This window comes from Homo sapiens, chromosome 17 (genome assembly GCF_000001405.40).
Source record: "Homo sapiens chromosome 17, GRCh38.p14 Primary Assembly".
NCBI lineage: Eukaryota > Metazoa > Chordata > Mammalia > Primates > Hominidae > Homo > Homo sapiens.
In genome coordinates, this window is record NC_000017.11 from 2,524,001 (window position 1) to 2,538,896 (window position 14,896).

At 47.5% G+C, this 14,896-nt stretch overlaps 1 annotated feature.

Moving 5' to 3' along the window:
• Nucleotides 7,282–7,482: a silencer, noted in NCBI's record as "peak2683 fragment used in MPRA reporter construct". NCBI's record gives its function as "represses an SCP1 promoter by STARR-seq MPRAs in K562 erythroleukemia cells {active_cell/tissue: K562}" and the evidence as "EXISTENCE:reporter gene assay evidence [ECO:0000049][PMID:32103011]".

Here is a 14,896-nt window from a genome sequence, read left to right on the forward strand (position 1 = left end):
TCTTGAGGTTATTTACCCTCTGTACCTCATCTCTCCTCCATCAGGCACTAGGGACCAGGGAGCAAGATGTCAGGCCTCAGCTGGATGCAGTGGCTCATGCCTGTAATCCCAACACTTTGGGAGGCCGACATGGACAGATCATGAGATCAGGAGTTCAGGACCAGCCTGGCCAATATTGTGAAACCCCCATCTCTACTAAAAATTCAAAAGCTAGGTGGGCATGGTGGCACAAGCCTGTAGTCCCAGCTACTTGGGAGGCTAAGGCAGGAGAATCTCTTGAACCCTGGAGGCGGAGGTTTCAGTGAGCCGAGATTGCGCCACTGCACTCCAGCCTGGCCAATAGAGGGAGACTCCGTCTCAAAACAAAAAACAAAAAAGACGTTAGGCCTCAAGAGGCCAATGGAAGCTTGTAAAAATCCACCTCCGCCTCCCCCATGCAGACTGCAACCAGCCCCTGTCCTGCTCCTCCCAGTCTGTGTCTCACAGCCTGTATCTGTCACGAAGACTTGGCCTCATTTCCCAGCCGAGCTGATTGCATGTTTGGCTAATATGACATTTTTCTCTGATGACAACAGGACTATGTGGGACACTGTATTTTGGACAAGCAAGTCATTCCAGCATCTACCTTCTCCTATCCTACTGCCTCCAAACCATTCCCACTGTTTCTCTTTTGCATCCTCCAGCCTCACATCTGGCTGTGTCTCTAGGTTTCCTTTTGCATCTCTAGTGATGAGCCTTCTTTGGCTCTTTCTCACTGTTTGTAAGCTCAGCAGCCAGCCTAGAGCTCTCCTGAGTCTTTTTTTTTTTTTTTTTTTTTTTTGAGACGGAGTCTTGCTCTGTCGCCCAGGCTACAGTGCGGTGGCGTGATCCTGGCTCACTGCAGTTTCTGCTTACTCGATTCAAGCAATTCTCCTGCCTCGGCTTCCCCAGTAGCTGGGATTAAAAGCATGTGCCACCACGTCTGGCTAATTGTATTTTTTAGTAGAGACGGGGTTTCGCCATGTTGGCCAGGCTGGTCTCAGACTCCTGACCTCAGGTGATCTGCCCACCTCGGCCTCCCAAAGTGCTGGGATTACAGGCATGAGCCACCGCGCCCGGCCCCAAAGTGCTAGGATTTAAGATGTGAGCCACTGGGTCCAGCTCCATCTAGTTTTAATCACTTGTCTTAAAAATGGAAAAACTAATGCTAGAGTGGGAAGGAGACTTGGATGGACCGAGGATGCTTAGCTCTTCCGTGGCAGATTTTGGACCAGAACCCGGATCTCCTGTGTCTCCTGAGGGATAGAGGTGAGGGAGGAGGACCCACAGCCACTAGCTCAGCCTTGCCCCAGCTCCTCCCAAGGCCTCAACACTCAGCCCTTTGAAGATGCTGGCTACTAAGCAGCTAATGAGTCTACCACTCTGGGGGTGGGAAGAGCCTGCCTCACCTGTCAGCCGGTCCATTGCATAACTTGACAAGTTGAGGCCAGGGACTCTGCTTCCCACACTAGGCCCAGCTGAAGAGGGGAAAGGTCAGGGTGCAGGGAGTAACAAGGAAGCTGGACGCTAGTCCTACCTTCCCCTCAGATCCTACCCCCTCTCCCTGCAGGGCTTGGGGTGGGTTAAAGTTAAGAGAGGCCTATCGGGGAAGCAGGGGTGGGAAAACAGGTTCTCTGCAAGAGTTCAACGGGGCAGGGCTAGTACTCTTTCTCACCTCTGAAGGGTCTTTTATTTCAGGGAGGGAATTTGCGGACAAGACAGAAAAGAGGCTGGGTGCAGTGGCTCACACTTGTAATCCCAACACTTTGGGAGGCTGAGGCAGGAGAATCACTTGAGCCAAGGAGTTTGAGACCAAACTGGGCAACATAGTGAGGCCCTGTCTATACCATTTTAAAAATTAACCAAGCATGGTGGCGCATGCTTGTAGTCCCAGCTATTTGGGAGGCTGAGGCAGGAGGATGGCTTTAGGAGTTCGAGGCTGCAGTGAGCTGTGATGTGCACCACTGCACTCCAGCCTGAGGGACAGAGCAAGACCTTGTCTTAGAAACAACAACAACAGCAACAAAACACGTAGGCCAGGTGCAGTTGTTCACCCCTGTAATCCCAGCTACTCAAGAGGCTAAGGCAGGGAGAATCTCTTGAACCCAGGAGGTGGAGGCAGCAGTGAGCTGAGAGCTGAGACTGCGCCACTGCACTCCAGCCTGGGTGACAGAGTGAGACCTTGTCTCCAAAAAAAAGAAAAAAAGAAAAATAAAAAACATGGAAAGGAAGAGGAAGCGCCGGGCGCAGTGACTCACGCCTGTAATCCCAGCACTTTGGGAGGCCATGGCAGGCGGATCACTTAAGGTCTGGAGTTAGAGACCAGCCTGGCCAACATAGCAAAATCCCGTCTCTACTAAAAATACAAAACTCAGCCAGGCGTGGTGGCAGGCACCTGTAGTCCCAGCTACTCAGGAGGCTGAGGCAGGAGAATCGCTTGAGCCCAGGAGGCGGAGGTTGCAGTGAGCTGAGATCGCGCCACTGCACTCCAGCCTGGACGACAGAGCGAGACTCCATCTCAAAAAAAAAAAAAGAAAGGAGGAGGAAGCAGCTTTTGGCTGGTCCTTCTTTCAGGCCATGAGTTGTGAGTTTACGTATAAAATGGAGAAATAAGAGATGAGACGGAGAGCCGACTTTGTCGTTGAGGCTGCCCATGCAGCCTCTAATGGAGGCACTGGAGAGTGGACTCAGTGCAAACATGTCCGGGGTCCCAGTTTGGTTCCCTGAGCTGTGAGGCAACAAATGCAGAGGCCAGACACGCCTTTCCCAGGGCCATGGACTTTCTCAGGTGTGCCATGAAGATGGCCATACTTGGCCACTGTTCAGCAATTCCATCACAGCCTCTGAGCAATCCAATGAGAGGCTTTTGTTTTTGTTTTTTTTTTGGAGACTGAGTCTTGCTCTGTCACCCTGGCTGGAGTGCAGTGGCATGATCTCAGCTCACTGCAACTTTCCCCCTCCTGGGTTCAAGCAATTCTTGTGCCTCAGCCTCCTGAGCAGCTGGGATCACAGTCACGCGCCACCACACCTGGCTAATTTTTGTATTTTAGTAGAGACAGGGTTTCACCATGTTGTCCATGTTGAAGTAAGGAGTCTCAAACTCCTTACTTCAAGTGTTCCACCCGCCTTGGCCTCCCAGAGTGCTGGGATTACAGGCGTGAGCCACCACTCCCAGCCTGGTTTTGTTTTTTTAAATTATCCAACTGTTTATCATCTATAAGACCACATATATGTATATAATATATAGTATATATCATATATATGATATATATTTAGTATATATCATATATATATATAAAATATATATCATATATATGATATATATTTTATATATATATCATATATAAGGCCCTCCCACAGAAGCACTCCCAAAACTGTACACAACCCATGGAAATACAGGATCCCCAAAACCCAAAGTACTTCCTACGCAACTGAGTTTGGGGGTTGAAGTTTGTGGCAGCTACAGAGGCCTCTCTGGTGACTGAAGGCCTGGTTTTAGTTACAGACTTCTGTGCATTGTAGATATCAACAGCACGGAAAAGTCAAACACACGTGTTCGCATGCTGAGGTCCAGTTTGGACTTGCCGTGTACGCTTCGCTGTAACATTAAATGAAAAAAAAACCCTCTTTGTATTATACTCGCCCAGCCAGAAATTTATATTTTAGATACAAATTAGTGAATATAAAGATGTAATTTTTTGGCTGGGCGTGGTAGCTCACGCCTGTAATCCCAACACTTTGGGAGGCCAAAGCAGGTGGATCACGAGGTCAAGAGATCGAGACCATCCTGGCCAACATGGTGAAACCCCATCTCTACTAAAAATAGAAAAATTAGCCGGGTGTGGTGGCGGGCGCCTGTAGTCGCAGCTACTCAGGAGGCTGAGGCAGGAGAATCACTTCAACCCCGGAGGCCCAGGTTGCAGTGAGCCGAGATCATGCCACTGCACTCCAGCCTGGTGACAGAGCAAGACTCCACCTCAATAATAATAACAAAAAAGATGTAATTGTTTTTCCCATCCATATTCAAGGACCCCAGGTCATAAGAAATCCTGGCCACAAGAAATTCATCTCTTCTCAATCCCAAACTCTTCCACAGGACTCACAAGGCCTCCAGAGACAAGTAGCCCAAGATCTTTGACCTGCTTGAAGGAAGAGCGGGAGAGGGTGGGGGCGCAGTTCTCACCCAGCGTCAGCCCTTGATGTGTCTCTGGGCTTGCTCTGGCAGGCCCCAGTCCAAGGGCAAAATGGAGGACATTTGGCTTTGATTGGAAAAGATTTCAGAATTCTGTGGTTTGATGCTCTCTGACCATGAGTGGATAGGTGGGAGCCACTGATGGTTAATATCTCAATATAATATTTTCCCATTTACCTTTATGGCGTTACACACAATCCTAACATGCCTAGTCATCTCCCCTCCCCTCTCCTCCCCTTCCCTTTTTGAGATGGAGTCTGGTCCTGTTGCCCACACCAGAATGCAGTGGCATGATCATAGTTCACTGCAGCCTTGAACTCCGGTGTCACAAATAATCTTTTTTTTTCTTTTTTTGAGATGGCGTCTCCCTCTGTCGCCCAGGCTGGAGTGCAGTGGCGTGATCTCGGCTCACTGCAACCTCCACCTCCCAGGTTCAAGCAATTCTCCTATCTCACCCTCTTGAGTAGCTGGGATTACAGGCATACACCACCACACCTGGCTAATTTTTCCATTTTTAGTAGAGACGGGTTTTCACCATGTTGGTCAGGCTGGTCTCAAACTCCTGACATCATGATCCGCCCACCTCGGCCTCCCAAAGTGCTGGGATTACAGGCGTGAGCCACCACACCCGGCCCTATCTCTTTTCTTAACTCACAGGAAAATAGAAGCAGCAGATTAGAAAAGTCTGATCAGCAGCTGCTAAAAAAACACATAATACCGAGGCTGGGTGTGGTGGCTCACACCTGTAATCCCAGCACTTTAGGAACCTGAGGTGGGAGGATTGCATGAGGCCTAGGAGTTGAAGACCAGCGTGGGCAATATAGCGAGACCCCTGTCTCCACAAAAAAATTAAGAAAAAAAAACAAACAAAAAACTAGCTGACTGTGGTGGCATGCACCTGTCATTCTAGGTACTTGAGAAGCTAAGGTGGGAGGATTGATTGATCCCAGAAGTTCGAGGCTGCAGTGAGCTATCATTGTGCCATTGCACTCCAGCCTGGCCAAGAGAGCAAGACCCCGCCTCTAAAAAAAACAATAAAAATGGCCGGGCACAGTGGCTCACGCCTGTAATCCCAGCACTTTGGGAGGCCAAGGTGGGCAGATCACAAGGTCAGGAGATCAAGACCATCCTGGCTAACATGGTGAAATCCCATCTACTAAAAATACAAAAAAAAATTAGCCAGGCACGGTGGTGGGTGCCTGTAGTCCCAGCTACTTGGGAGGCTGAGGCAGGAGAATGGCGTGAACCTGGGAGGTGGAGCTTGCAGTGAGCGGAGATCGCACCACTGCACTCCAGCCTAGGCGACAGAGCAAGACTCCGTAAGAAGAATAATAATAATAATAATAAATAAATAAATAAATAAAAATGGCCTGGCGCAGTGGCTTACGCCTGTAATCCCAGCACTTTGGGAGGCCGAGGCGGGCAAATCACCTGAGTGATCAGGAGTTCCAGACCAGCCTGGCCAACATGGAGAAACCCCATCCCTACTAAAAGTACAAAAATTAGCCAGGCGTGGTGGTGGGCGCCTGTAATCCCAGCTGCTCAGGAGGCTGAGGCAGGAGAATCACTTGAACCCGGGGGGTGGAGGTTGCAGTGAGCCAAGATCACACCACTGCACTCCAGCCTGGGAGATAAGAGCGACACTGTTTAAAAACAAACAAACAACAAAAATAAAAATAAAAATAAATAACACATAATGCCTAAGGTAATTGAAAACACCCTGAAACATACAGAAGATTTTTGTTTTTGTTTTGTTTGAGACATATCACTCTGTCATGCAGGCTGGAGCGCAGTGGCATGATCTCAGCTCACCGAAACCTCCGCTTCCTGGGTTCAAGCGATTCTCCTGCCTCAGCCTCCCAAGTAGCTGGTATTGCAGGCATGCACCACAACACCAGGCTAATTCTTTTTGTATTTTTAGTAGAGATGGGGTTTCACCATGTTGGCCAGGCTGGTCTCGAACTCCTGACCTCAAATGATCTACCTGCCTTGGCCTCCCAAAGTGCTGGGATTACAGGCGTGAGCCACCATGTCCGGCTGAAGAGATTATATATATTTTAATGCCAGATGAGAATTCAAAAATCACAGAAAATTGGAAAAGCCTGGGCAACATGCTTAAAACCCCATCTTTACCAAAAAAAAATATATATATAGATATAGATATAGATATTAAAAAATTAGCTGGGCATGGTGGTATGAGCCTGTAGTTCCAGCTACTGGGGAGGCTGAAGTGGGAGGATTACTGACCCTGGGAGATCAAGGGTGATGAGTCATGATCCTGTCCCTGCACTCCAGCACTCAGGGTCAACAGAGCAGGACTGTCTCAAAAAAAAAAAAAAAAAAAAAAAAAAAAAGGAAAGATTTAGTTGGTATAGGAGCAGATAATTATATGCATTTTAATTTCCCGAAATGCTTCTCTGACATTACAATAACTGATATTTATCACTATAACCCTATATTCTGAAGAAAAACCCAGAGAACATAGATTTGTTAACCTATACCTAAGAAAGAGATGCATAGAATATATTTAGCAGTTTCCAAGCAAGATGGTAAAAATAAAAAGTTTTGGTGCTTAGAGAGGTAAATCTATAGGTTCTGGATAGCTGAAGTTTTGAAATTAATATCACACTCCAGACCCCATCTGCCCTTAATCCTGGGGTTCTTACAGGATACCTTGTTTTTGAGGAGTCTCGCTCTGTCTCCCAGGCGGGAGTACAGTAGCACAACCTCGGCTCACATATTGGCCAAGGTGGTCTCAATCTCCTAACCTCAGGTGATCTGCCTGCCTTAGCCTCCCAAAGTGCTGGAATTAGAGGCATGAACCACTGCGCCTGGCTTTCTTACAGGATACTTTTAAGTTTCCTATGCTCCCCTGGGAGGAAAAGGAGGTGGTGGAGATCATAGTGTGTCCGGAACTGGTGGGTTCTTGGTCTCACTGACTTCAAGAATGAAGCCGTGAAGCCTCGTGGTGAGTGTTACAGTTCTTAAAGGCGGCGTGTCTGGAGTTTTTTCCTTCTGATGTTCAGATTTGTTCAGAGTTTCTTCCTTCTGGTGGGTTCGTGGTCTGACGCTGGCTCAGGAGTGAAGCTACAGACCTTCACGGCGAGTGTTAATAGGTCTTAAGAGGGCACATGTAGAGTTGTTCCCTCCTCTCAGTGGGTTTGTGGTCTTGCTATCTTCAGGAGCGAAGCTGCAGACCTTTGTGATGAGTGTTACAGCTCATAAGAGCAGTGTGGACCCAAAGTCTCAGCAGCAGCAAGATTTACTGCAAAGAGCAAAAGAACAAAGTTTCCACAACGTGAAGGGATACCCAATCAGATTGCTGCTGCTGCTAGCTCAAGCAGCCTGCTTTTATTCTCTTATCTGACCCCACCCACATACTGCTCATTGGTCCATTTTATAGAGAGCCGATTGGTTTGTTTTACAGAGAGCTGATTGGTCCGTTTTGACAGGGTGCTGATTGGTGCATTTACAATCCCTGAGCTAGACGCAAAAGTTCTCCAAGTCCCCACTAGATTAGCTAGATACAGAGTGCTGACTGGTGTATTTACAAACCCTGAGCAAGACACAGAGTGCTGATTGGTGCATTTACAAACCTTGAGCTAGACACAGAGTGCTGATTGATGCATTCACAATCCCTTAGCTAGACATAAAGATTCTCCAAGTCCCCACCAGATTAGCTAGATACAGAGTGCTGATTGGTGCATCCACAAACCCTGAGCTAGACACAGGGTGCTGATTGGTGTGTTCACAAACCTTGAGCTAGACACAGAGTGTTGATTGGTGCACTCACAATCCCTTAGCTAAACACAAAGCCTCTCCAAGTACCCACTAGACTCAGGAGCCCAGCTGGCCTCTCCCCCTGGATTGCTCACTGGGGCCGCAGGTGGAGCTGCCTGCCAGTCCCGCGCCCTGCGCCCACACTCCTCAGCCCTTGGGCGGTCGATGGGATTGGGCGCTGTGGAGCAGGGAGCGGCACTCCTCAGGGAGGCTCAAGCCGCGCAGGAGCCCAGCGTGGGGGGTGGGTTGGAGATGCAGGCATGGCGGACTGCAGGTCCCGAGCCCTGCCCCGCAGGGAGGCAGCTAAGGCCCGGCGAGAAACCGACCACAGCAGCTGCTGGCCCAGGTGCTAAGCCCCTCACTGCCCGGGCTGGCGGGGCAGGCCAGCCGGCTGCTCAGAGTGCCGGGCCCGCCCAGCCCACGCCCACCCGGAACTCATGCTGGCCTGCAAGCGCCGCGTGCAGCCCGGGTTCCCGCCCGCGCCTTTCCCTCCACACCTCCCTGCAAGCTGAGGGAGCTGGCTCCGGCCTTGGCCAGCCCAGAGTAGGGCTCCCACGGTGCAGCGGCGGGCTGAAGGGCTCAAGCGCGGCCAGAATGGGCACCGAGGCCGAGGAGGCACCCAGAGCAAGCTAGGGCTGCCAGCACGCTGTCACCTCTCAATAGGACCCCTGGAGGAGGACCCACTTCAGTTCACATGGGAACATCCATTGCAGATTACAGACCACGGAGAATGGAGCCCAGGCAGCTTTCACTCATCCACTGATGATCAGCCAGTACCGAACCACACAATGTTTTTTTTTTTGAGACGGAGTCTCACTATGTTGCCCAGGCTGGTCTTGAACTTCTGGGCTCAAGCGATCTTCCCACCTTGGTCTCCCAAAGTGCTGGGATTACAGGCATGAGCCACTGCACCCGGCCATACCAAACCACAGAATTGTGAAGCCTTTTTCAAAGTGAAATATCTTCAACTTTGCTCTTGCCCCAGGAGTCCCCTGTAAGCAGCCAAGAGTGAAACTTTTGAGTTTAGGTGGTCCAACATCTGCCTTATACAGATGAGAAAATTGAGGCCCAGGTATGAAGTTAGTATAAAAGTAGCATTCTTTCTTCCTTAAGTATTTTGGTAGAATTCAATGATAAAGCCATCTGGGCCTGGAATTACTTTGTGGGAATGGATTTAATTTCATTAATATTTCTTTCTTGGGACATTCTTTACCATTCATCTTTTCTTCTTGTGATAATTTTCTTTTTGCCAGCTTGTGCCTGTTTCTACAATATGTAGAAATTCCTGAAATAAAGTGGTTTGTAATGTCATATAAAAATATTTAAGGAACTGGCTGGGCGTGGTGGTGGGGCCTGTAATCCCAACACTTTGGGAGGCTGAGGCGGGTGAATTACTTGAGGCCAGGAGCTTGACACCAGCCTGGTCAACATGGCGAAACCCCGTCTCTACTAAAAAAAAAAACAAAAAAAACCCCACAAAAACTAGCCAGGCGTGGTGGCGCCTGCCTGTAATCCCAGCTACTCAGGACGCTGAGGCACGAGAATTGCTCGAGCCTGAGAGTTGGAGGTTGAAGTGAGCTGAGATTGTACCACTTCACTCCAGCCTGGGCGACAGATAGAGACTCCATCTCAAAACAAACAAACAAACTGCCCTGCTACTTTTAACCGCTTACATTCCCACCAAGAGTACACGAGAGTTCCAATGTTTCCACATTCTCTCCAACACTTAATTTTCTGTGTGTGTTTTTTTTTTTTTTTCCTGTAGTGGCCATCCTAATGGGAATGAGGTTTTGATTTACATTTCCTTAACGATTAGTGATGTTGAGCATCTTTTCATGTGTTTCTTGGCCATTTGTATACCTTCATTTGTCTCCCTCTGTCGCCCAGGCTGGAGTGCAGTGGCGTGATCTTGGCTCACTGCAAGTTCCGCCTCCCGGGTTCATGCCATTCTCCTGCCTCAGCCTCCGGAGTTGGGACTACAGGCTCCCACCACCACGCCCGGCTAATTTTTTGTATTTTTAGTAGAGATGGGGTTTTACCGTGTTAGCCAGGATGGTCTCGATCTCCTGACCCCGCGATCCGCCCGCCTCGGCCTCCCAAAGCGCTGGGATTACAGGCGTGAGCCACCGCACCCGGCCTTGCCGATTTTTAAATTATTATTATTAATATTTCTGTTTTTGAGTGAATGATGTGCCTTTCTGCATCCTTATATTTAAGGTGTATATTATAAGAAGCGGTGGCTCACTGCACTCCAGCCTGGGCGACAGAGCGAGACTCTGTCTCAAAAAAAAGAAAAGGATTTGTGGATATATCTGAAAACAACTGCATCTCGTATTTTGAAAAGAGTAATTGCCAACCCCCTGGCATAGCTGGTTAAGAAAAAGACAAAAGGTTTTTTTTTTTGTTTGTTTTTTTTTTTTGAGACGGAGTCTCATTCTGTCACTCAGGCTAGAGTGCAGTGGCACAATCTCTGCTCACTGCAACCTCTGCCTCCTGGGTTCAAGCAATTCTCCTGCCTCAGCTTCCCAAATAGTTGGGATTACAGGTGTGTACCACCACACCTGGCTAACTTTTGTATTTTTTTAGTAGAGACGGGGTTTCACTATGTTGGCCAGGCTGGTCTCAAACTCCTGATCTCAAGCGATCCACCCACCTCAGCCTCCCAAATTGCTGGGATTACAGGCGTAAGCCACCGTGCCCGGCCAAGAGAAAGAAAAAAGGTTTAAATAACCTTTATCATGAATGAAAAGAGGTACTAAATAAATATCAGCTGCACTTAAAAATTTTTTTCCAGCCAGGCATGCTCACGCCTGTAATCCCAGCACTCTGGGAGGCCGAGGTGGGCAGATCACTTGAGCTCAGGAGTTCGAGACCAGGCTGGACAACATGGTGAAACCCCTATCTCTATTTTTTTTAATCAAAGAAAAAATTCCTATATATTTACAACTGACAGTAAGAGAGTTTTTAATGTTTTGACCAAAATATTTAAAGGTCACAGAGCAATCATACATTTTCTCATTGATTATTAAGATTGCTTTGCGGCCGGGCGTGGTGGCTTATGCCTGTAATCTCAGCACTTTGGGAGGCCGAGGCAGGCGGTCAGGAGATGGAGACCATCCTGGCTAACACGGTGAAACCCCGTCTCTACTAAAAATACAAAAAATTAGCCGGGCGTGGGGGCGGCAACCTGTAGTCCCACTAATCAGGAGGCAGAGGCAGGAGAATCGCTTGAACCTGGGAGGTGGAGGTTAAAGTGAGCCGAGATGGCGCCACTGCATTCCAGCCTGGGTGACAGAGTGGGACTCCGTCTCAAAAAACAAAAACAAAAACAAAAAAAAAGGCCGGGCGTGGTGTAATCGTAGCACTTTGAGAGGCTGAGGTAGATGGATCACAAGGTCAGGAGTTCAAGATCAGCCTGGCCAATATAGTGAAACCCCATCTCTACTAAAAATACAAAAATTAACTGGGCGTGGTAGCGCACTCCTGTAATCCCAGCTACTTGGAAGGCTGAGGCAGAAGAATCACTTGAACCCAGGAGGCAGAGGTTGCAGTGAGCCGAGATTGTGCCACTGCACTCCAGCATGGGCAACAGAGCGAGACTCTGTATCCAAAAAAAAAAAAAAAAAAAAAAAAAGATTGCTCTGCATGGTTTCAGCTTGCACGGTCCTATCTGTGGTCCTGCATGGCCATGCAAAGTGAAGGCTGCTGGTTAAGCAGTTTCTACACCGTTGTTGTCTTCATATCTGATGCTGGAGTTTGAGGTCCCCGGGGCAGGCAGTTGGTAAAGTGGAGAATGAGCTGGAACTCACTAGCATAAACTGGAGCCCATGAGGGCAGGCTGGAGACCGCGTCAGTTCTTGTTGCTTCTAATGTTGGTGGTGTGGGCATCCAGGAGAAACCAGGGCTCTTTGCCCAGAGATATAAACACTGACACCTGGTCCAGGAGTAAGAGAAGCTGAAGGAAGATTCAGGAGAAGGTGAAGCAATTACAGGTGTAGCTGCTGCCTCTTGCCAATGAGTTGAGGCATCAGATAACCAGCACTGTCAGCTGCGGAACGGCTGCTGCTTCAATTCAGCCCTCCAGTCTCTCACAGGACTCTCTTGTGTAGTTTTCAATTGGGTTCAGGGGCGAAAAAAAAAAAAAAGAATCATTTGTGGCCCATGCTAACTGGAAATGAACAGGAAAGGGAACTCTGGGAAAGGGGATTCTGGGAAAGGGAATTCAGCCACCATAGTTACCGTATAGTTTAATGGCTGTGCATGGAGGGCTCGAAGTCAGACTTCTCAGATTTGATTTGTTTCCTTTATTTCAAGTCGTATGTCCAAGGGTAAGTTTCTTAGTCTTTCTGGGCCTCAGTTTGCTTGTCTGTAAAATGAAGATGTAATAGTAGCATTTAAGATTAGTTTGAGGTTTTTTAAAATTATTTTTATTTCCTTTTAATTTTTTGTTTTGTTTTTGTTTTTGTTGTTTTTGAGACGGAGTTTCACTCTTGTTGCCCAGGCTGGAGTGCAGGGGCTCAATCTTGGCTCACCGCAACTTCTGCCTCGCGGGTTCAAGTGATTCTCCTGCCTCAGCCTCCTGAGTAGCTGGGATTACAGGCACACGCCACCACGCCTGACTAATTTTGTATTTTTAGTAGAGATGGGGTTTGTCCATGTTGGTCAGGCTGGTCTTTAACTGCTGACCTCAGGTGATCCGCCCGCCTCGGCCTCCCAAATTGCTGGGATTATAGGCGTGAGCCACCACGACCGGCCCCTTTTAAATTTGTATTTATATAAAAACTTCTATGCTAGTTTGAGGTTTAAATGAGATAATACATATAAATTGTTAACATATTATTGGTGTATTATCAATAAGACTTGCCTTATTGGAAATGTTTAATAAACATCAGCCATGTCGGCCAGGCGCAGTGACTCACACCTGTAATGCCAGTACTTTGGGAGGCTGAGGCAGGAGGATTGCTTGAGTCCAGGAGTTTGGGACCAGCCTGGGCAACATAGGGAGACCCTGCTTCTACAAAAAAAAAATTTAAATTAGCAGGACGTGGTGGTGCACACCTGTAGTCCCAGCTACTCAGGAGGCTGAGGCAAGAGGATCACTTGAGTCCAGGAGGTTGAGGCTGCAGTGATCCAAGATTGTGCCGCTATGCTCCAGTCTGGGCAACTGAATGAGACCCTGTCTCAAAACAAAACAACAAACAAAAACAATCAAATAGACAAAAATATATCAGCCATGATTATTAGTAATTGTGTGATCTTTCTGGTCCTCAGTTTTTTTCAGCTGTAAGGTGGGGATAACTTCCTTGGCCTACTTCACAGGCATATATTGAGAATCAAATGAAATAAATAATTCAAATAAAATAGGAATAATTATATGAATAACATATCACCACTTCATGGTAGAGGTGGTGGTAAAAATGATGATAAACATAGTTCTTAGTTCCTTCCAGCCTCCATATTGGTATCTACTCCAGTGACTAAAGCCAGCTATTCCATGATTATTAATCAGAAAAGCAGTTATCCAAATGTAAGATGTTAATAGGGAAACTGAGTGCAGAGGATATGGAACTTTTTGTACTTACCATCTTTGCCATTTTTCTGTAAATATAAAACTGTTTACTAAAAAAATAAGTTTACTGAAAAAACTTGATAAAAAAAAAAGAATGTCATTGTCAAACTTTAGCAGAATTCTCTGGAAGGCTTATTAAATATTAAATACACATTGCTGGGTCCTAGCCCCAGAGTTGCTGATTCAGTGGGTCTGGGCTGGAGCCAGAGAACTTGCATTTCTTTTTTTGAGATGGAGTCTTGGTCTGTTGCCCAGGCTGGAATGCAGTGGTGCGATCTCGGCTCACTGCAACCTCCGCCCCCTGGGTTCAAGCGATTCTTCTGCCTCAGCCTCCTGAGTACCTGGGATTACAGGCATGTGCCACCACACCCGGCTAATTTTATATTTTTAGTAGAGATGGGGTTTCTCCATGTTGGCCAGGCTTGTCTCAATCTCCTGACCTCGTGATCCACCTGCGTCGGCCTCCCAAAGTGCTGGGATTACAGGCATGAGCCACTGTGCCCTGCCGAGAAGTTGCATTTCTAACAAGCAGTGCTGAGGCTGCTGATCTGAGGATGACACTTTGAGAACTCCTGACTTAAAATGTAAAGTAGTACGTGGGTTTCCTGTCTTTCCTATGAACAAAGGCTCCTATTCATCACGGTCTGCCATTTCTTGGTTCGTGCTGTCCATGACATCACCCAACATTTACCTACGAAGCAAGAGGAAGGAGACAACTGATGACTGACTGAGCAGGATGATACTAAACGGGGCCTGCATAATCCCTTTTACCCTGCTTTTCTCCAGCTTCTTCGAAGCTTTAGGCCATGGATCCAAACCATGCTTAAAATAACACACAAGTACATATTTAAATATGTATATGTTAAATATATAATACATATATATTTTATGCATACATTTCATTACAGGTTGAGCATCCCAAATCCCAAAATCTGAAACCCGAAATGTTTCAAAATCCAAAACTTTTGAGCACCAACATGACACTCAAGGAAAATGCTCACTGCAGCATTTCAGATTTTGAATTTTTGGATTTGGGATGTTCAACACATAAATATAATGCAAATATTCCAAAATCTGGAAAAAAATCTGAAATCTGAAACACTTCTGGTTGCAAACATTGCAGATAAGGGATACTCAGCCTGCAAAAAGAAATACATGGGCTGGGCATGGTGGCTCATGCCTGTAATCCCAGCACTTTGGGAGGCTGAGGCAGGAGGATCATTTAAGGCCAGGAGTTCAAGATCAGCCTGCACAACATGGCAAGACCCTGTCTCTACAAAAAAATTAAAAAACAAGCCGAGTATGGTGGTGTGTGCCTATAGTCCCAGCTACTCAGG